Consider the following 22,507-nt stretch of genomic DNA (forward strand, 5'->3'; position numbering starts at 1 on the left):
GTAGGGAGGAAGAAAGAGCAGGTCACCAATTAGACAGTGATCTACAGCTGCACAAACTAAGCTCAGCCTTGGAGCTGGCAGCAGAGGCGGAAGGAAAGGTAGAAAACAGGCCAACGGGCATTTCCACAGTTGAGCTCTGTGGCTATCAAACAGCATTTCCCATGGTGGGTGTCAACCTTGGGTTCTCCTTACACAATGCAATTCTTCCGACCTAAATAAAGGTCTGTGTGACTGTAACACCTTATTCTCTAAGGGCGCTCTAGGAAGAAAGAAGGCACATCAACAAAAACTCACTCATGGTGTAAAGAATTTCCAGTGACAGATGATACACATGCATTTATACTAACAACCCAAAATTTAGAATCTGCAACAATTCCTAAGTGTTACCGTGTCGTTAATAAATGATAGTTTAGAACAGTCAACAAAATGAGAAGGTTTATCTCTGCTCTTTGGGACAGCTGAGTCCCTCTATGACCTGTACTAGTCTGACATCATTTAAAAGGCATAGTTGAAAGAAGATAGGTTCTGGCCCTTCAGGTAGCCAGGGGCACCTCTACATTAAAATTCTGAACCCAGTTTGTAATATTTGGGTCTTCTTCCTTTGTGCACAGTTGGCAAAAGGATCTTCCAACTGGTTATACATGGTGTGGCAGACAGTGCATTCAACTCACCCAACTGCACACAGAGGGTCAATAAATCCACTAAATTAAGGAGGAGAGGAGGGACTCTGAGATGCTAACTGCCACCTGAAGGGAGAAATGCAGAGTGAATACTGCATGCGGTATCCCAAAGACTTCTAAATGCGAGCTATTATGAAAGGACCATGCCCTGCTTATGTTAGTAATTTTTTCTGGATCCTGTAGGATTGCAATTACACTCTGTGTCCCCAGATTCTCACACTCGCTTGATCTCTGTTTGATAAAAATAGTTTAATAGCCATTTAATCACAGCTTCATTATCTTGGCTCTCTTAATGTGAATTAGGCCAGAAGAATTCTCGCTTCCTCATTATTCAAATCATCAATAAGAAGGAAACAGTGGGGTCTTCTTATCATTCATTAATCAGTTTCAGTATCTTAGGTACTGTGTACTTAGAGATCAATCTGTGTGAGAGGTGACTTAACCTCTCTGAGCCTCTAATTTTTTTTCTGTACAAAATTTAATGTGATTATTTGCCTAATTCCTATTACGGAATTTTTTTGCACTCATGATTAATAGAAAAAAAAAAAAAAGAGTTGACAAAGGCCTGAGAATTCTTCAAGAAGGTGTTCATAAACATTTCCAGTGTATATTCCCATCAACTTGATTATCTGTGTTTGAATTTTGTTCTTTGAACAGGATCTACCACAGACGTTTAGCACTGGGCCAACTCCCCCCAAATACCCAGCATGCCCCAGGCTTCCTCCTTGCCCCATCCTGCTGACTTGGAAACAGCTAATGAAGACAAAATTAACTCCTACTTTAAGTGAGGCCTAATTAGGAAAGGAAATCTGCTAGAGTAACATCTGGTAATGTATTCCAAAGCCAAATATAAATGACATTCTTGGATTATCCACTACTTTGGATTATTGGTTCCGCTAGGCCCCACCAGGACTTCAAATAACTACATGGGAAAGCAACTTTTATAATAGATTCAGGAGTTCAAATAAGAAATACAGTGGGTCAGAGGTGTGTCTCTTTCTTGAATCTCCATAGATAAAACCTTGTACCTGTTTCATGCATGGATCAGCAAAAAATATTTGCAGAAATGTACAGATTTTGGTTCTGATGCATAAAGTTTGATTCAATATTTATAAGAAAGTAAAGTCAAAATTTAAAGAAAACTAAGTTTTTTTCCTGCAATAAAATTTAAAAATAACAATCCAGAGTTGACTACTGGAATAGGATTTGAGGTTTTTAGCTTTTTTCTTTAACCCATTCTAATCAGAACAGACACCACTTCACTGCATGTGTCTACTTAAAGTGCTCTGAGCCTTTGCTTATAGGTTGTTAAGTATTTTGAATACCCACATTCAAACAATTGATTTTTTTTCCCTCTTCGTTATCTTTCTCCTCTAAAATCTCTGCAATCCACTGTGGGTTTTGTTTTTGCTTCTTTTATACCCAAGTGTGGGCACTGACAGTATATCTGTGCCCCTTTCTCACACACCCAACCAAAAGTGGGCGGACTCCCACATGTAATGACTGAGAGGTTCCTAGCTCCTACCTCACTCAAAGGAGGAGTCCTTAAAATAACCCAATTACTTTTTGTTTGTCATATGAAATACAGGGCTGAGAATAAGGTATGGGCACTGGACGGTGGGGAAAAAGAAAAGAAATCTCAAGCATATGTGTGCAATAAAAAAATCAAGACAATAAATACCACCTTACATTTCGTAACACATTATAAAATGCTTTTTGTCCACTCATTTCTTACATATGCCCTGAGAGTTAGCTTATTCTTATTTTATTCCCATGAGAGATAAGCACATTATATGACAATCTATTTTGCCCTGTTGGATGCCAAATTTGCTGGAATTTGTGGGCCGGTAGAAATAACATAAATTTTAATTTCACTGTCTGAGTAACTCCCCATGGGCATACAGGCTACTTGAAATACCACGTGTGTAAATATGTCTGTCCATATCACACCCACAAGTTTATATCTCAAGCACACATATTTAAAACAGAATCTAATGCACATATATATCTCAATGCCTTGAGTGCATTCTCTGATATTCAATTGTAGTTGACTATAAAAAAATGTATAATCTGTACATACATTGCTCCTCTCAGCCACTCTAACTGAGGAAAGCAACGATCAAAAACCAGGGCTAATTCCTGTAAAAATAAAATAAGAATCAAGTGGAAATAAAATATAAACAAAATTGAAGAATTCACAGACATAATTAGACCCATGGGAATCCATTTAATTCCAATTAATACACATATTCCTATTTAAACAGGCATAAAACATATATTCACATCTGTACTTAGACTCCATCCTTATTGATTTGCTTCTATCACACATTCATGAGTTAATAAATATGTACTGTACACGTGAAATTCAGTATTCTGTAGAGGTTATAAGAGCCAGAAGTATAAATACAGAAGTTCAACAGAAAGTCCTAAAAATTCCTGGTTAATATATGCAAAATGAGCTATTTCAGGAGAAAGGGGAAAAAGGTTCGGGGAGGTTGTGGGGGTCATGCCTATTTCTCACAATGGGAAGAGGAAGGAACTGAGTTGTGCCATCAAACTGGAGACTTAATAGGCCTGAAAAGAGCGAGCAAGGCATTCTATTTGTTCTCAAGTTTAAACTGAAAGAGAAACTGGGCACTGTGGGAAGAAGTCCAGACTGGAAGTCAGGAGAATTAATCCTAGATCCATTTCCACCACCAGCTAGCTACATGTCCTCAAGTGAAACAACTCAACTCTCTGGCTGCATTGCATAGTCTCGAATGAAAATCCCATAGGTTTCTGCTATCAGTCTGTTTTCACGCTGCTGATAAAGACATACCTGAGACTGGGCAATTTACAAGAGAAAGATGTTTAGTTAGACTCACAGTTCCACGTGGGTGGGAGGCCTTACAATCACCGTGGAAGGAAAGGGGAACAAGTCACATCTTACGTGGATGGTGTCAGGCAGAAAAAAAAAGAAGTTTGTGCAGGGAAAGTCCCGTTTTTAAAACCATTAGATCTCGTGCGACCCATTCACTATCACGACAACAGCACAGGAAAGACCCGCTCTCATAATTCAGTCATCTCCCCCGAGGTCCCTCCCACAACACATGGGAATTATGGAAGCTACAAGATGAGATTTGGGTGGGGACACAGAGCCAAACCATATCGGTTCCTAACTGGCTTCCCATTTGCCAACCCATCTCAATATTTTATTCTCAACACAGAAGACGAAGTGATCCTGATGCAACCTAAGTCATGTGAAACCCCTCTTCTGACCAAACCCTCCGTGGCTTCTCATGTCTCTAAGACTAAAAGCTAAATCTTAAGAGTGCCTTACTAACCAAGGATCGCCATATAATTTATCATCCAAGCAGAACCTTTTTTGAGAGGGAGAGCGGATAGTGCACATAATCAGCTACTCAGGGATGAACCCAGACTACACCAGGCTAACTGGAATGTATGGTGGCCCTACACTTGGCCAACTTCATCTGACTCTGGCAACCCCTCATTCACCTATCTGAATCCTTCCCAATCAGTCTGATCTCCTCACTACTCCACAAAAATGCCAAGCATTCTCCTGTCCTCAGGCCTTTGCACTTGCTGTTTTCTCTTCCTAGAAGGTTCTTCTGCCAGAGGGCCACATGGATTGCCCCTTTGTCCCCTCATTTACTCAAGTGTCACCTTCTCAGTGCAACATTTCCCAACTACTCTGGACACATTCTACACATTTTCCCTATCTTATTTTTCCCTTTGGCATTCATCTCCCTGACTCAACATATGTTTTAGTGATTTATCTTCTTCATGAACTATCTAAAAGGGGAGGTCTGTGAGACCTATTTGATTATTATTGAGATACTTAGTATATAGGAGAGGCTTAACTAAAATGAGTTAGAATGGTAACTAAAGAGTCTAATCCATCCTGATAATATAAGAATATATGGATTTTCATTCTTCTTTTGTTGTTGTTGTTGTTATTTTCTTTGTAATCCTCACCTCCTCCTATCCTCGGACAATTTGTCTTCTTAATAATGTTTAGCTTAGGCTATGATTCAAAATTATCTCACATTCATTTCACATATACCAGCTGACAGGCCAGGCAAGCAAGTGATATATTCTTAGTGGGGAAGAAAGAATATGAACAGCTACAGCTATAGAGGGCCTAATTCTGAAATGAACTCCTAGGCAGTGAATCTATAGAAGTAAATGTAATGATCATCTTTTGTAAAAGAGGAAGTTTAAATGGGTCTTGAAAACGCAGAAATTTACCCAAATCTGTTGTCTGGAAGGATACTGGGACACATCATCAAGCAATCAATTTGCAAACATCTTGAAAGAGTCAAGATGCTTTCGTGAAGAGATAATCATGCCAGACAAACCTACTCTCTGACCATGCAGGAGTATTGACTCTCTAGTCAAGAGAAAACCATTGATGTAATCTATCTGAACTAGAGTGGTGACCTTCTTCATTCCATACCATATAACACACTCATCTTCAAGCTGGGAATATATATTAATCTTATCCAGAAGTTTTTAAACTATGTTTCATAGAACTCTGGACACTAGAATAGCTGGTATAAGGATTTATTATAAATATTATAGTGTATATTTTATGTATTTATATACCTTAATTCATAGCCAAAAGAAGTCATTTTTTTTTTTAGAAAACACACTCACGTGTGTTAACTTTCTTATCATAAATACAGAAACACAGTGGAAACCATGACCAAATTAAGCAGCCAAATTGAATCGTTTTGTATTGTATTCAGATTTTTAAAAACCTTGAGAACTGAGGGTGAATAGTTTCAAACCTGGAGCCATTTTAAAATACTCATTTCTATGAAGCAGGATTTTCTCAATCCCCTTCAAACAAAACAAAGCACAAAATAATCAGTTGCTGTGATTGATGATAAGAACCTGCCATCATCTTAAATCCCAACTTGTACTTTTTCTGTTCATTTAAATAATGCCATAGTTCTCTTAGATAAATATTACTTTAATAAATAATAATAATAGTAAATAGCAGCTGATCTTTACTATTTTCTATATTCCTGATGTTGAGTTAATTTCTCTACATGCATTATTTAATGGAAACCACCCATTTAACCCTATTATTATGTCCAAACTCACATGGCTAATGAAAGACAGAGTTGGATATTAAACCAGATATATCTGATGAAATATCATTCTCACTCCCTTTCTTTATATTTTGGGATTTTATGGAAGATATTATTAGAAAAATGAGTGGGCGTGGGCTATTTTATCTTCATATTGGGGACTAAGAAGTGAGTTAGAATGACATAGCATGCATTTATTGTCAGCTAAAATCTAAGGTGGGAGATGCAAGTTACATGCCATGAGGCACAGTTGGCCTTCCATGCAGAAAGAGGAGGTTGCTTTGCAAATGATTCTCACTATTTATTGCTGGCTGGCCCAGTGTTGGTTCACAGCCTTTTTTTATCCTACTGGGTGTGATTTGCTCTTCTATTTGAATGTTCTTCCCTCTTTACATCTTTTGTTTCTATTCTATCCCTACTCAAAGCCTACCTTAAGCATTCCCTTCCATGGGATGTTTTTCAACAAGTCCAACTCTATTGATAGCACCAAGTTTCCAATCTTTTATCAGAAAAACTTGGATCCATAGACAGAAATGCAGATTTCAAAGCCTCATCACAGACCACTGAATCAAAATCTCTAGATATGAGTTTCTGGGCTGCAGCACTGTTGACATATTAAGCCAGATAATCCTTTGTTTTGGGGGCTGTCCTGTGTGTTTTAGAATGCTTAACAGCATCCCTGGCCTCTACTCACTAGATGCCAGTAGCACACCTCCAGTTATGACTACCAAAATGTCTCCAGATATGCCAAATGTTTCTGGGAGGCAAAATTGCCCTCAGTTGAGAACAACTGCCCTGGGAGGTAGAGCCTAGGATTCTGTAATTTTGATAAGCAACCCAGGCGATTCTGATAATCAGGCAAGTTTGGGTAATTTGCTGTTTTGTGGCTGTTGAGTAGTGTGTAAATCAAGTTGAAATGTATGATTCCATCTATGCTAGATTTATTCTCTCTAACACATGTGATTCTAGATCTTAATAGTTATTATTAACACATTTTTATTTATTCAATGTGAACTATTTTTCCCAATATCTTACATTAATGTGCCTAGTTGTTTTATGGTCTGCCCTTCCCTGTTGATTACAGCATATTGGTTATTCACTTCCCGAATTTGTTTTTGGCAGTCCTAAGGCAGCTCAGTCTTTATATTGCCAATCATTCTCTTTCTTCAACAACTTCTGACTATCACCATTATCATAAAGTTCATTTCAGTTCTGGAGTCTATTTTATTACATAGTCTACCTGCTAAATGATTCTTAAGGATTTTCTTCTATATATTTTCACAGAGGTCTTAAGCATTTCTCAACTTAAGATTTTTTAAAGGCCGTATAATATTGCTATATTATTTGAAATAGGCAGTGAGGCAAAATACAGACTCCAAAGTTAGATTTCCTGATTTGGGGTCCTGAGTACATCACTTACAAGGTGTGTGACCTTCTGCAAGTTACTTAACCTTAATAAGACCTACAGTACAGGGCTGTTTTCAGAACTGACTGAGCTAATCCATGCAAATCATATAGAACAGTGCCTGGTATATAGTGAGGATTTATCTTTACTGCTAATAACAATAACATTATCATTTTCATGCACTAAATTGAATTCAAAATAAGTGAGACAAAATATGGATTTGTTGAAAACAAATCTGAGGAAGAGATAAGACATGAACAAATGGAGTGAAAAAGGAAGAACACTGTACAATAAGCCTACACAATGTAGAAATTGTAAGGATGGTACCAAAATTACTAAATACATATTACTCAAAAATTCCTACAATTTGTATAAAATTCATTATCTCCCAGTTACTAGTTAAGGTTGAGATGCTAGAGTTAACAGGCATGGTTTGACATGATCACTGACTGCTTGCCAGTTATTACACAGAATGATCACCTTTAATCCATACTCAGCTGAATTAAAATATCTATACCTGACACACCCTTCATTTGTGAACATACATGCAGACCAATATCATATTTACAGATACATATACATAAGTATACATATATACATTTTTACACATACATATTACAGATACATATAAACATGCATATTTATGTGCGTATTTACAAATATTATATATATATCTTTATTTACACATATTTATTGAGTGCCTACTATGTACTATAATTTGTTTTCTAGGAACTTGCATTTTAGTTTGGTGGTGAAAGGATGGCAGATAATAATAGATTTTATATTTATACATCGGGAGAATACAGTATACATATGTGTGTATATATAAAACATAAACACACATACAAAAAAATTATTTTTATTAGCCTCAGAGAGTTTATAATCTAGTCAAGGGAGTGAGACAGGAGCAGTGAAAATACAACTAATGACACAAGGCCATGTGTACATGACAACATATTATATTAGAATAATCATAAACTATATTATATATTATAATATAATAATCTATAATATATTATAGATTATAATATGACAATCTATATTATTTATCATATAATAATATATAATATATTATATATATTATATATAATATAGAATATATTTATTATATATTCTATATTAATATATTATAATAATCATAATATATAATATAATAATATAATAATCACATAATATAATCATATAATATATTATATATTATCACATAATTATATTGTATATTGTTAATATATAATAATTATAATTATATTATATAGTAATATATTATATTAATATATAATAATATATATCATATTATATGATATATATCATATATTATAATAATATATATCATATAATATATGATCTATCATAATATATGATATATATTATTATAATATATGATATATCATAATATATGATATATATTATAATAATATATGATATATATTATAATAATATATGATATATATTATTATAATATATGATATATATTATTATAATATATGATATATATTATTATAATATATGATATATATTATATACACACACACACACATACATACAGAAAGAGAAAAAAAGAGGTAGCATTTGGAGCAGCAAAGCATAATAGCTAAGAAAGAAATGTTCTAGACAGGGAAAAGAGTAAGAGTAAGGGCCAAAGGCCCTGAGGGGGAACTTGCAATGAGTAAGAAATTACTTTTTCATGGTTTACGTATAGGTATAAGCAGGAGGGGGGTGATAGGCAAAATATTTAACAAACATCGCACAAGAACATTGATCAATCAGAACAGCAGCACCAGGACTTTAGCACGGAGGCCTGCTGTGAATACCTCACAAAGCTCTGCTGTTACAAATTAGCAGACTACATTAACCCTAGGCATAACCAGTGTTTTTTACATTATGTAAGGAAGAATAATTTCCTATTACAACCTGTGAGTTCTCTATAAGATAGTATATTTGCTGACAAAAAGAAGTGCTTAGACGGCACCATCACAGAGGTCAATGCTATTTGTTCATAAAGACTTAGCACCACAAGATAATATGTGAAACTGTGCAGCTGCAGATTCCTGACACTTGGATCTATATGGTATATTAAGATTGCGGACACTAAGATGCAGGTAACGTCAAATGATCTGATTACTGTAATATCCTGGCAATGGCATTAGAATGAGAGAAAATTGTCTCAAGGTGGTTGGAAGCTATTCAGAGGCAGGGTGTCCTTTCTGTGAGGCCATCTAGGGTGAAAGAGATCCAAGTGTGCTCCATGTTAATCCTCTGAGCCTTTCCAGCTCCTTTCTCCAAGAAACTAGGAGCCACTTAGAGCTTGGGATTGGGTCTTTGACTCCTTGACTAACTTTCGTATTCCACTAAAGTGCTCTGCACAGAGCAACGGGTTGTCAATAAATGCTTGCCGAACAAATACAATATGAGAAGTTCATCTTCTCAATGACTTTATATCTAAGTATTTTACATGGGTTTAGGTTTCCAAAGCATCTGAGCAAGTTTGCAATCTCCTAGGATTTAGATACTGAGCTTCTTTTAATGCCAGACTGAGTGAACCCCTTGTGAAGAATCTTTAAATACTTCACACTGAATCAATTCCAAATGCAGACTCATTCATGATTATCAGTGACTTATATGCATATCTGGAGAGCATGCACAGTGGAGAAGCATATGACATTGGGTTAGACAAAGCAGCTAATAACCTCAAAGGGGGATTTTAAAAGTGAGTTTGATAACAGGATAAAAAAGCACGTGTCCCTGTAACAGCATGGAAAATGACAAGACAGGTGTAAATGGATCTGGATAAAAATGTAAGATTTACAGAACGATGAAAAGGAAAAACATGCCATTTAATGCCTTGCCACATTGTGGCTCCTATAACGATAGGATGTAGTAACATGGAAACACTGAATAGTAAAAGCTGCGTGGTCAACTCTTCCAACAGTATGATGTTGGAGATGAGAAGCCTGACATCCAAAGGGTTAAACAAACTTTCTCAATGTCCTCTGGTAACTGATCTAATTCTACATCTGTTTTGGAACTATTGGCTCCTTAGTTTTTCTATTATACCATGTTGCTTATCAGGAGAATAAAAGGAAATAAGTGGCAAAGACTCTGTCTCTTACATTTGCCATATGCTTTCTTTAAAACTCAACATTGTTTAACCTACTGTAAATATATTACAATTCATTAACCTCCATAGAAATACTGGATTGTATTTTCATGTCTGTGTGTTTTTAATAGATCACAAGCTTCCTGGGACTAGGAATCATGATCTGTGCATCAAAATTAGTGTCAAAAATTTTGACAAGAATTTTTTGAGCACCTAGCATGTGTCGGACACTCTTGACACTGGGGATATAGCGATGAACAAAATAATTAAAAATTCCTGCCTTCAAGGAGCTTATTCTGTTGGGGGAAGAGAGATGATAGACAAAATAAATTACTATAAACAAAATAAACAACTGTGAGAAATAAATGAAAGGAAAAAGCAATAAGAACTCTATTTGTATTTATGTAAAGCCAAAATAGATTTAAAAATCAGGCTTATTTACAAAAACAGGGCACAAATATTTTTTCTTAGAAAAGGTTTCATACTGGGATAAAGGTTTTCTTCTGACTCTTACAGAGTAATAGATGCTTGTAAAGTAGTGACTCTCAATGTTGGCTTTAAATTTAATCACATATGCATTTAAAAAAATATGCTTGCCCCTTCCCTACACCCTTGAGCAATTAAGTCAGTATCTTTGGAGGTGGGAGTTAGTAGTTTTAACATCTTCCCAGGTGAGATTCTAATAGAAGCCAGGACTAAGAATCACACCTGTAAAAGATTAAATAATAAAAACTTTGAGGAAAGGTGAGAATATTTGTTATGATCTAATGTGTAGGCTGAAGGAGAAGGCTTGCCCATCAGTGAGAACCAGCTGTGGCATACTGAGATGCCCAGAATCCCTCACATGTGCCACAGAACATGATGTTTTATCTTTGTCCAGTGCATACCAAGTCTGGCCCCTTGACCGAAGGAGTCTTCTTTCCTGAGTCACAGTTCTCTCCTCCATTACCACTCATACCCTGTTTCAGTACTTGTGAGTCCATGAAATGTCTTAAGTCATGAAATCTCTTTAGTGTATGATGGCAACACCCGCCAGCCAAAAGTCTTATTACAATGACTACTGCCATCAGATTGAACACCTTTAAAAACAAAGAATCACAGATCACATTAGAGTTACCTCTGACCATAGGCTGTGTAAGCAATGAGTACCTGGGTTTAAAGATAAAAAGAAAACCAGGGAACTCATACTGTGAAATGCTTGATACCCATTAAAACAATTATATAGGTATACCTTTGTTAAAATGAAACATAGCCATTAAATATTATGAAACGAATCAAGACAGTTGTCAAATAGCACTTGTTCAGTCCATGATCTATGCATGGATACTGGAAAAAGCCTAAAAGAATGAATCCCAAAATATTACAAGAAGGTGAGATTTCAGATGACTTTAAGTCAATTTGTCTTTTTCCAGTTTTCTGTAATGAGCATTTTATTCTTAAAAATATATAAAAATAAAGAACCCCAGAGTGTGTTTGTGTATGCCATACATGAGAAAATGGGAAGAGAAATAGCTAAAGTGTGATTAAATAATTAATCAAAGTCAGCCCAGGTCTACACAACTTTGTGGCCCTGCTTTCAAATTGTCTTCCCTGGGCCTTAATTTTTTGATCTGTAAAAAGGCAGAAGTGAAATCTGCCATAGTTGTCCCATAAGGTTACAGGACATAAAAAATAGCATGATCATTATGTGCTTTAAGGAAGAGTTAAGCAGCATTATATAAAAATGTAGTGCTAAATATTCATGCCTCTCAGATAAAATCATTCAAGCAATATTTACTGAATTCGTACCATGCTTATATAGTTACAAACTTGACTTAAATTTATTTCTTCCTCACAGCACCTCACAGTAGCAAGTAGACTATAACAACCGGCATAAAAACAATGACAGCATTGGTCTGAGACTCTAGAGCAAAGCCACAGAAGCAGAAGAGAAATCATGATGCCCTCGAGCTAACCCTCTCCCAGAGTCCTCTTTGCCTGAGCTCCCATCAGTGGTTGTAGACAAACTTTCCAGGTCTGTTTGTGAGGATAATGTTAGCCAGCTGTAATCTCTTCAGGGGTGAAAGATCTGATGCTATCAGCTAGAGGTGGCCCTGGAATAGATCTGCACACGATATGAAAACATAAGGCTTTAGCAATTGATAGCAAAATAATTCAGTGCCATTTCAGCGTCAATTGCTGCTCAATTTGTCCCCGGAAGAGCATTCAATATTCTTGAAACATTAACTCAGGACCTCTCATTTTTTGCTGCTGTTCCTATCAATATTATGCCCATTGTGAATATTTCCAAAGTAGTAGACTCAAAGTCTTATGGGATTTAGCCTTAGAAAAAAAGGGTTTCAAGTTACAATTCTGTCATATACAGGCCTGTGTCCTTGAGGAAGGCATCTGGGCCCTGGAATCCCAGTACTATCAACGTAAAAATGGAGACATCTGTAATCCCAGCACTTTGGGAGGCCGAGGCGGGCAGATCACGAGGTCAGGAGATCAAGACCATCCTGGCTAACACGGTGAAACCCCATCTCTACTGAAAATACAAAAAATTTAGCCGGGCGTGGTAGCGGGCGCCTGTACTCCCAGCTACTCGGGAGGCTGAGGCAGGAGAATGGCATGAACCCGGGAGGCAGAGCTTGCAGTGAGCCGAGATTGCCCCACTGCACTCCAGCCTGGGCGACAGAGTGAGACTCCGTCTCAAAGAAAAAAATGGAGACATCTGCTTCATAGAATTGTGGTGAGGATTAAATGAGACACTGAGCATAAAGAGCACCGTAATACATCAGATAAAAATTTCCTACTATTCCTCTAATGATGTTCGTTATTTAAAATTGTTTTCAAAATGTTATGCTGGCAATAAAAGAACATAACTTAAGAAGGAACGCTAGGAAACCGTATGCCATGTGAACTTAATCTGTTACCTAAGATGAGCCATATCACAATCTTTAGCCCTGAATACATGGCCTTTCTACTTACATAATAAATTGACTATCGCATAGCTGATAAAAAGGCTCACAGATATTGCCTTCAATTTGGAATAGCTGAACTAGGACAAAACTGTCATTTAAAAAATCAAAAACCACTGAATCATAGCAAATATAAACAGGGGATACAGATGAAAAAGAAAAGTTTATTGTGTTTGAAGATGATAAGGGAAGAAAAAATGGATTTATCTTACATAAAAATAAGACTAGAGAGAATAGAACCTTTAGTAAATATAGCAAGCATTTTACTTTAATTCTGGATAATATTTTTAAAAAGAAAAGGGGCCATAATACATATTTAAGCTCTTTGAAGGTCATAGTCTTGTTTCATTTGGCTTTACTCATTTATTCCTTCTTGTATTTATTTGTAGATTTAGAATTTTTTTTTTTTTTTGGAGGGCAGGTGTTTCATGCATGTGAGGACACAGCAGTGGCCCTAACAGACACTGCTCCTGTCCTCATGATGTTTACAGAATCCTCGCTGCACGGTACAGTCATTAGTCTGTAATGTCGTATAATTATTTAAATGTTGAATGAAGGAAAAAAATAGACAAAAATGAAAATAAGAAGAGAAAGAAAAGAAAAAATCAGAACAGGGAGTTAGAAGGAGAATGGAATTATCCATAATTTTATTTTCGCTTTTTGATGGAAATGAAATACTCTTTTCATATCACACTGTTTGTTTGAGCTACGGGCTTCAGGAAATAATTAGGTTGGTGCAAAAGTAATTGTGGTTTTGGTCATCACTTTCAATGGCAAAAACTGCAATTAGATTTGCACCAACCTAATGCTATCTTTGAAATATAAGTTAAAGGTTTAATCACCACTTGCAATGCTTGTACTGCTTCTTATACATTGCCAAGATCATCTTTGGGAGCTGTCGCTAAAATAAAGCATAAGAAGAGAAGCAAGAATTTTCTTTGAGCTTCTGTGACAGTGCTCAGAGTAATATTGTCATAAAGGCCAAGTGAAAACAACCACGATCTACCAGGGAACTAAAAGTAAACTCCTGCTTTGGTAGACACCAACAATTTCTATAAAGTACAAGCATGGCAGTAAAGTACAGCCTTCTTTCTAGCCTTGTTTCTAGTAGAAAATACAGTGGGATACATGATCTTTAATGATTACATCTTTGGCCTTGAAGAAATAAAATCAAACTTATTTCAAGGCAAAGGCAGGAGAATTAAAATATCTAGGTTGAAAATTAAAGAGTGACAATAGCGGTCATTGATACGCTCTTGCTGTGCACTAGGGATACTGTCAAGCCCTTTCCACACGCCGCTTCCTTTTATCTTCATAGTGATAGTTTGAAATAACTATTAAATCACCTTTTTACGTATGAGAAAACTGAGGTTTAAAGAAGCTAAGTAACTCATTAAAGGTTACTTAAACATGTGTCTGAGTAGGAATTCAAATGCTGGTTCCCCTCTTTTCAGTGACCCTAACTTATCCAGAACATTTTTCAGGGCAGAATTCAAAACTGTTTTACCTTTATAGGTATACATTTAAACTTAATTGTTAATTTTATTTTCAAGATCTCTTTGGGGGAAAAAGTAGCTCACTGAATATTCTAGAAAAAATGTCATGTGTTTCATTGCTTCTAATGAGTTGCTGCAGTTCAGAAGTTTCATTACATTCTGACAATTAAGTTGCTAATAAAGTGAGGAACCACTAATGGACTTATCCATCTCACAAACTCAAGATCCAGCTAGCAACCTAGAACACAATTTCATCACTGGAACAAAAATAATTCTCATTTTGCAATACACATAGTGATTCGATTTAATCTAGGTAAACTGCAGATTGCTCCTGCACTTGACATGATGTTCTGACTGGGAACATACACACACACATGCTCACACACATACAATATTAGTAACAATATGTTGTGCTGATGCAGACTGTATTATCAGAACCAATGATAAGATGATAAGATATTGTTATGCTGGGACAATGCAATGGCTATGGACCCAATATCAAAAATTTATGGTAATTGAAACCACAGAATCTTAGGAAATGCAGTCGATTTCATAGAGTATCAAAGGGTCACTCTATTCAATTTATATTTGAGGCTGAGCACAATATTGAAAAAACACGTGAAAGCAAATGATGTTATCAGTTGTCCAGGATTCAACAACTGACTTACTATCTAAGGTAATTTACTGATTACCAAATATGTGCATAACCTGTGTTGAGTCTTGTGCTTGGCACACCAGTTCTTGCAAAAAACTTAACACTGTGAACGCATTACTAAATATATCAACATTACCATATTAACTGCTCTGTTCAAGCTTCAGTAAGAGTGAACCTTTTTATTGTCTCATGTTTCACTAGTTACACCAAAGATTCTCTGAGATTTTGCTCTCTCTTCAAACTTTTGCTGTATGCTGTGTCTTACAGAAGCTATTTTAAAACAAGAACATTAAGTATACTACATCCAGTGCTTCTTTAACATTAATGTGCATATGAATCACCTGAAGATGTTGTTAAGATGCAGATGCTAATTCAGGAAGTTTAGGGTATAGCTTAAAATTCTGAATCTCTAACAAGCGTCCAGGTAATGCTCAAGCTGGTCCACAACCAAGAGTTTCAGAAGCCAGGTTCTAGTTTTCTCCATCAATTCAGCACATTTTTCTACTTGTCCCCATCATGCAGGGCATAAATATTCTGTTCCATTACAATTAATCCCCACTAAGGAGGCAGACCACAACATTTTGAATTAAAATGTAGAATTATTTCATTCTTTCTAGCTCAAGTTTCAAACTAGAGGTCTTCAGGAGGAACCAGTCCAGACATACGTTTCATTTGGTGAGCATGGTTTTGCCTACAAAAGGTTTTTAAACATTATTAGATTACTTAACAACAGTTATTGAACCGCAAATTGTATCTGAAATTTCTGCTTTTAAAAAATAAATCTGAAGATCTAGAGAAGCTGGGATTTGAGGAGGAGCTGATCACTTTACAGAGAGGCTGCTCTCCTCAGATTTCCACTGTCTCCACCCCTACAGCCCTGACATAGAATTTTCATGGCAGTCTTCATTGTACTTGCTCCCCATCAAGGCCACATCACTCATTCTCTTTCCTGCCTACCTCCCATGAGCACTGGAGTCACTCTCCTCTGATTGTCGTTTTAAAAATCCACCCTCCCCCATTTTTCTACCTCCACATTTTGGTATCTTCACTATAAAATAGTTTTCTCCGTTTTTTTTTCTTCATAGAAATCCTAAAGCTTAAGATCCTATTCGAGTTCTCTTCTCCCATGAAATATTGGTTAAGCACACCAACATAACTCTTTTAAAGTATTATACAGCATCATGCCATGTTTTATACTTACCATATAAAGCCTAGTTTTTATCTTTTCGTGAGCACATTTTTATCAGCCTTTAGGGAAATAGATATGTACAAGACACATGACCCAGACAGGCATATGCATGTGTGCGTGTTTGCACATGTATTTGTACACCAATTATTTCAACTTCCAGCTACATCATCACTGCCCTAAAAAAAAACTATAATGCACTTTGTCTTTTGCAGGTTAACAGGATGGTCTGCATGAAATAATTCCAATCAAAATTATTTGTTAATTTGATTCTGGAGCTGAGAGATTTCCTTTCACAGGTTTTCCTTTTTATATAAGAAATTTGTAAAAGAATTTTTTTAATTAAGCATTTAGCATTTAGGATACTGGTTTTCTATATTAGAAGAAGGTTTTCATTATAGAAAGCAAAATACAATCAAAATTTTTAAATACACAAAATTTCATAGTTCGATTAAAGGAAAGTACAGAAAGGGGTTAGTTTTTAGTGGCAGGCACTCCCTAGAACATCTTTTAAAGGGGGAAAAGTGAGAGACATGTAAGATAGAAACATGGTACAGAAAATAAAGCATAAAACAACATTAACTTAGGGTCATTATACTTTATGTGTTCTATTACAATGGTCCAAAGGACTATTACTTGTTAAAGAAATGAAAATAAAGACTTCCTAAGTTACATCTGCTATGTTACCTCAGATCAATGAGACACATTTTGAGGAGGTACTCAAATGTCCTAGATGTGTACAAGAGGAATCTCAAATTTGGAGATGGGACAGGTTTCCATCATATTTGAACCTGATAAGCACTTAGGCACTGTGAATTTTCAGTGGTGATAATGAGGAGGGATTTCTGTAGAAAATTCTTTGCTGTACCTGAAATAAACCCTTATCCTTTATACTCTCACCAAGAATATTAAGACAATAACAACTGCCTTATATCTCCTACCCAGAAGGATAGACAGAAACTTGATAGGATTATGAGACATTTAGAAAACTATCTGATAAAACAACGATTTAATTTCTGGAGTATCTTCCACATGCAAGTCAGCATGTAGTAAAGCACAAGACATCTAGAGAAGACAAACAATAAAGTAAACAAGGGTACAGGTTCTACAGTCAGACTGCCTGGGCATGAATCCTAGCTCTGTCAATTACTAGGATTGGGGACCTAGGGCAAGCTACTGAACTTGTCTGGGACCAGTTCCCCATACACAGGGAAGATAATGATAAAATACCTGCCTCACAGGTTGTTGTAAAAATTAAATGAAACGTATAAAGTGCTTAGAATACTGCCTGGCACATAGAAACCCTCAATAAATATTAGCTATTGTCTGTATTATTTTTATTAGCCTCAAAGAGTTTATAATCTAGTCAAGGGAGTGAGACAGGAGCAGTGAAAATACAACTAATGACACAAGGCCATGTGTACATGACAAGTGTCAGATAAGTCAGTCCGATACTGAGTGTTAGTTCTGAGAAGAGAGAATCATTTTTAGTTTTAAGTAATGTTGCCAGGAATCCAGGCAAGGGATTTCTTATCAGGTCACAGAATTTTTAGCATAGTTATGTTATTTTGGTCATGGAAATCCCTTTGAAAACAATTTCAGAAAAGGCCTCTCCTAACCTTTGGGTGTATTAAGGCATCCAGATTTTCCCTCTGACCTGGGAAATGAAGGCACATCATCAGCACATCCAGACTTCATATAAAATTTGATTATGGTCCTATCCAATTACCGGAAATTCCTACAAGTTTCCGATGGCCTCTCAGCTGTGTCTGGCTTGACTGAGAGGCCATACAGTCCAACAGTTCCACAGACTTGGCCAAGAAACATAATTTGAGAGAAGGAATAAGAACTATATAAATGAAGATGGCCTTGTCCCACAAATATGAGTTTTTATACTGAAAATAAACACTGTACTAAACTGTTTGGTTCAAAGGCAAGATTCACCTTTAAAATTTTTTTTTACTGCTGTGTATTTCCTGAGGTTGGAGTGTGTCATTCATTTTTATATTCCAAGTATCTAATACGATGCTTGGAATATGGTAGACACCGGGTAAATCCCAGATGGATGAATGAGAAGCTATAAAGAAAAAAAGGGGAAGGAAGGGAAAGAAAGGCCTGTTTCCAATATAAACTAGGTTGAAATACTTTACCAGCCTAAGTGATATCCTCACCCACTGATATGATTTGGCTGTGTCTCCATCCAAATCTCATCTTGAATTGTAGCTCCTATAATTCCCACGTGTGTAGGAGGAACCCAGTGGGACATAACTGAATCGTGGGGGCGCACTCCCCGATACTGTTCTCATGGTAGTGAGTAAGTCTCATGAGATCGATGGTTTTATAAGGGGAAACCCCTTTCACTTGGCTCTCATTTTCTATCTTGTCTGCTGCCATGTAGGATGTGCCTTTCACCTCCTGCCACAATTGTGAGGCCTCCCCAGCCATATGGAGCTGTGAGTCCATTAAACCTCTTTTTCTTTGTAAATCACCCAGTCTCAGGTATGTCTTTAGCAGCAGAGTGAGACTGGACTAATATACCCATGCAACCCCTGACCCTTCACTGTCTTATTTGAATCTGGCTTTTACCACTCAAGACTTTTAATGTTAGTTATATTTTAAAATACTTATCTTTACTTCCAAATAGATGGTAAACTGGAACATAATTGGCATTCAGAAAGCATTTGTCAAATATATGAGGATTACTTAGCTAACTGAACGCTCTCTTGGGACAAGCAAGGACCTACTATGCTCGATGCTTCTAAAAATGCCTACTCTTGTGCATTGTATAATGTACTCCAAAAAATAATTTCAGGTTTATTTAATTCCATATTCTGCATGCATTTAATATATGCTTAATAAGCACCGACTATATTTCAGACACTGAGTTAAGTAATGATACTGGGTTAGTGACAACCACAGCCCAGACCCTTAAATAGCTTCTCATCCCATGGGAGAGACAGGACAAATAAGAAACAGGCAGATTGAGAAATCCTGGGAGAATGTAAAGCTTCTACAGGGCCCACATCAGAGGCACCTAAGCTGTGGTAGGGTGCCAGGTGTTGGTGGTTTGGGAGAAGTGATGTAGGAGGGGAAGTCTGGATTGTTATAAGGAATTAGGCTGGCAAAGAGATGCAGGAAGGGATGTGCTACATCAGAATGAAACAATAAAATTTAAACACAGAAAAACCAAAGTGTCACCAGACTCAACATATAGTAGACACTTAATAAACAATAATTGAATAAATAAATTACTGCACTAGTGTTATGTCACTTGAAACCATCTGACATTGAACTATCCCCAGGTTCTCCCACCATGGACAAAAAGTGACATTTGGAAATGTGTTGCAATAGTTATAATACAAAACAAAGCTTGTATATCTCCTATTCCCACCCCATAGAGCTCCCACAGTATATACTTGAGCTTCCTGACTTTCCAGAATGTGCCAACACAACCATAAAGAAAATCAAACAGCAATCATTGCAAATGCCAAACGCTGAACTTTTGCAGCCAGTATTCCAAGAAAGAATTCTCTGTGCTTATATTTTTTGAGGTGTAGGCCACTTCTTGGTGTTTTCTTACCAGGGATTAGTCATTGCAAACACTGTTGACTAAATGTGGTTTGTTTTAACATACAAAATGCCTTTGTTCGTTGGCTTTCATCAGCCCCATCAGAGAGAGGCCCGGGCCATGCTCAAAGCTGCAGGACACTCGGAGAAGTCACATTGTGATTGCTTGTCTTCCCTCTAAAGGTTACATTTCATGACAGAGATTAAACGTCTTGCCCATTCTATGATTGCTTTTGAAAATTATGCACTAATGATAGCCACTCAGCAAGTAGCTTAGTCATTTCCCTTTAGCCTCTGTAGAGAGAATCCCAATTTGGTCATTTCTCCAACAAATGTTTCTTGGGTGCATATCATGTGCTAGAAACTGCTACATGCAAGATACAGTGGCCTATAAAACAGGCATGGCCCCTCCCTCATGGAATTTACCTTTGATTAAAGGTACACATTGAATACATACTGGGGAGCCAATAACAGAAGCCGGACTCTCCCTTCATCACCGAGAGGCTGGCACAGAGCCCAGGGGCAGGCTGTTGAACACCTTCTCCCTGGAATTTGAATCTTGACCAGCATGCTTGTGCAGTTTTGTTCCCAAGGACACTTTCCGTTTTACAGAGCTATCCAGGAAGTTCAAGGTATTGGAATGTCAACAAATTGCCATTTATTGACTATCAATTAAGTGCAAGCATTGAACTATGTACTTTCCTTATATTATTTCTACATATATTATTTGAAAACTTAAAAAATGGAAAGGCTAATGTTTCCTGGCAGAGACACACAAATGATTTCTCAGGAATAGCAAATACATGTAATTATAGAAGGTAATGTAACAGGTCTCTCCATATTCCCAGAGCCAGTGCACCACTGGACTCACAGAAGATGCTCATCACTGATGTTCTATAGGTGTTTCTGGGATTCCTGTGACAATATAAAAGGCAACAAGTGCATAGTGACAAATGCCAAAGAGATGCAGAAACCACAAGATGGAGGACTCGCCTTTGGCAAATAAAGCCAGGGATGAAGTTTCATAAAATCTATTTAGTATGTGCGTGTGTGTGTGTGACACACACACACACGCACGTACTAAATAGATTTTATGTACTAAATAGATAAATATACATTTATCTGCATATGCATACAGATAAATGTATATTAACTAAATCATAAGCACTAGTTTCAATTCATGGAATTTCAGAGGATAGCCACTGGGTGGTAGAATTCCCACTGTTTAGTTGGGAACAAGAACCCCATTCTTTTACTTAATGTCAAACACTTTGTGCTGACAGTATAACTCATCCAGCTTTAAGACCTCAGAACTGTCACTGGTTGTTTCTTGACTGCCCAGTAGATTTGTAAATGCACCACACTTTCCTTTCACAGAATTATCCCTCCTTGACTGGATACACACCGAGAGCCAGTAAGCAAAAGCCTCACACTATTCTCACCACTCCAGGGCTAGCACAGAATAGGGAAAACCTATTGACATTTGAATCGTGATGAGACTCCTCTTGCAGTTTAGTTCCCAGGCTCCAGGTCTTTTAGGTACTAAGCCTAGTTCAACACCCTCTCATCAATTCCATCAGCCATACATATCCTTCTGCCTTTCTGCTTGAGGAAGCTAGAGTTGATTCTTTGTTTTCTATTCCATTGTTTGCAACCAAAGAACTCTAAATTATAAAAACAACTACTATGGCTAAATTATAAAAACAACTACTATGGCTAAATACTACTATGGCTTTCCGTGGAATGAAATGGTTCTTGGAAAAGTAAAGGACTTATTAATATTACATTTGCTATCTTTATAGATTCAAGGAAAGGCAAAAGCTATTACTTCCAGGAGTTTGTAGACTTTGTCTTAATTCTGTCAAAATGCATACCCCCTCTATTCCAGGCACTATACAGGACATTTTCAATGCATTGTCTCATTTAATTTTAACAACAACCAACTAGAACATAAGCTCCAGGAGGGCAGGATTTTTTTTACTCCCTGGTTCACTACTATATTCCTAGAACATTTTCACACATGATAGGTGATCAGTAAATGTTTGCTGAATGAATAAATAACCCTGAGGCAGGCACTATTTTACAAAAGGAGAAAAAAGATAATCATGGTCCTACTGCAAGTCAGTGGTAGAGCTAAGATTTGAAAGGCAGGCATGTCTGACTACAGGGCCCAGTCTCCTAACCATCTTGCTACCATTGCCTTTAGGTTCTTGGGATACAAAGAGAAGAGAAGGTTGCTGACCTCAGGGAATTTGGGCAAGCCCCTTTAAGTCCTGGTTTCCTCATTGTGAAGTAGAGATATGTCCCTCATTTGGTTTTTGAAGACCTAAGAAAGTCCTGGAAAATGCCACATAGAGATGATATG

At 36.7% G+C, this 22,507-nt stretch overlaps 1 protein-coding gene across 28 annotated transcripts in view, besides 1 other annotated feature; it reads right to left on the bottom strand.

The window, feature by feature from the left end:
* The window catches only part of PPARGC1A (PPARG coactivator 1 alpha), a 680,885-nt gene that overhangs the window by 44,152 nt on the left and 614,226 nt on the right, over positions 1–22,507 (bottom strand). The window lies entirely within an intron of this gene.
* Positions 16,295–16,464: an enhancer, noted in NCBI's record as "experimental_77881 CRE fragment used in MPRA reporter constructs". NCBI's record gives its function as "activates a minimal promoter by MPRAs in K562 erythroleukemia cells, with activity observed for the non-introgressed 4:23854175 variant allele {active_cell/tissue: K562}" and the evidence as "EXISTENCE:reporter gene assay evidence [ECO:0000049][PMID:34662402]".

Source organism: Homo sapiens, chromosome 4, assembly GCF_000001405.40.
Source record: "Homo sapiens chromosome 4, GRCh38.p14 Primary Assembly".
Classification (NCBI taxonomy): Eukaryota; Metazoa; Chordata; class Mammalia; order Primates; family Hominidae; genus Homo; species Homo sapiens.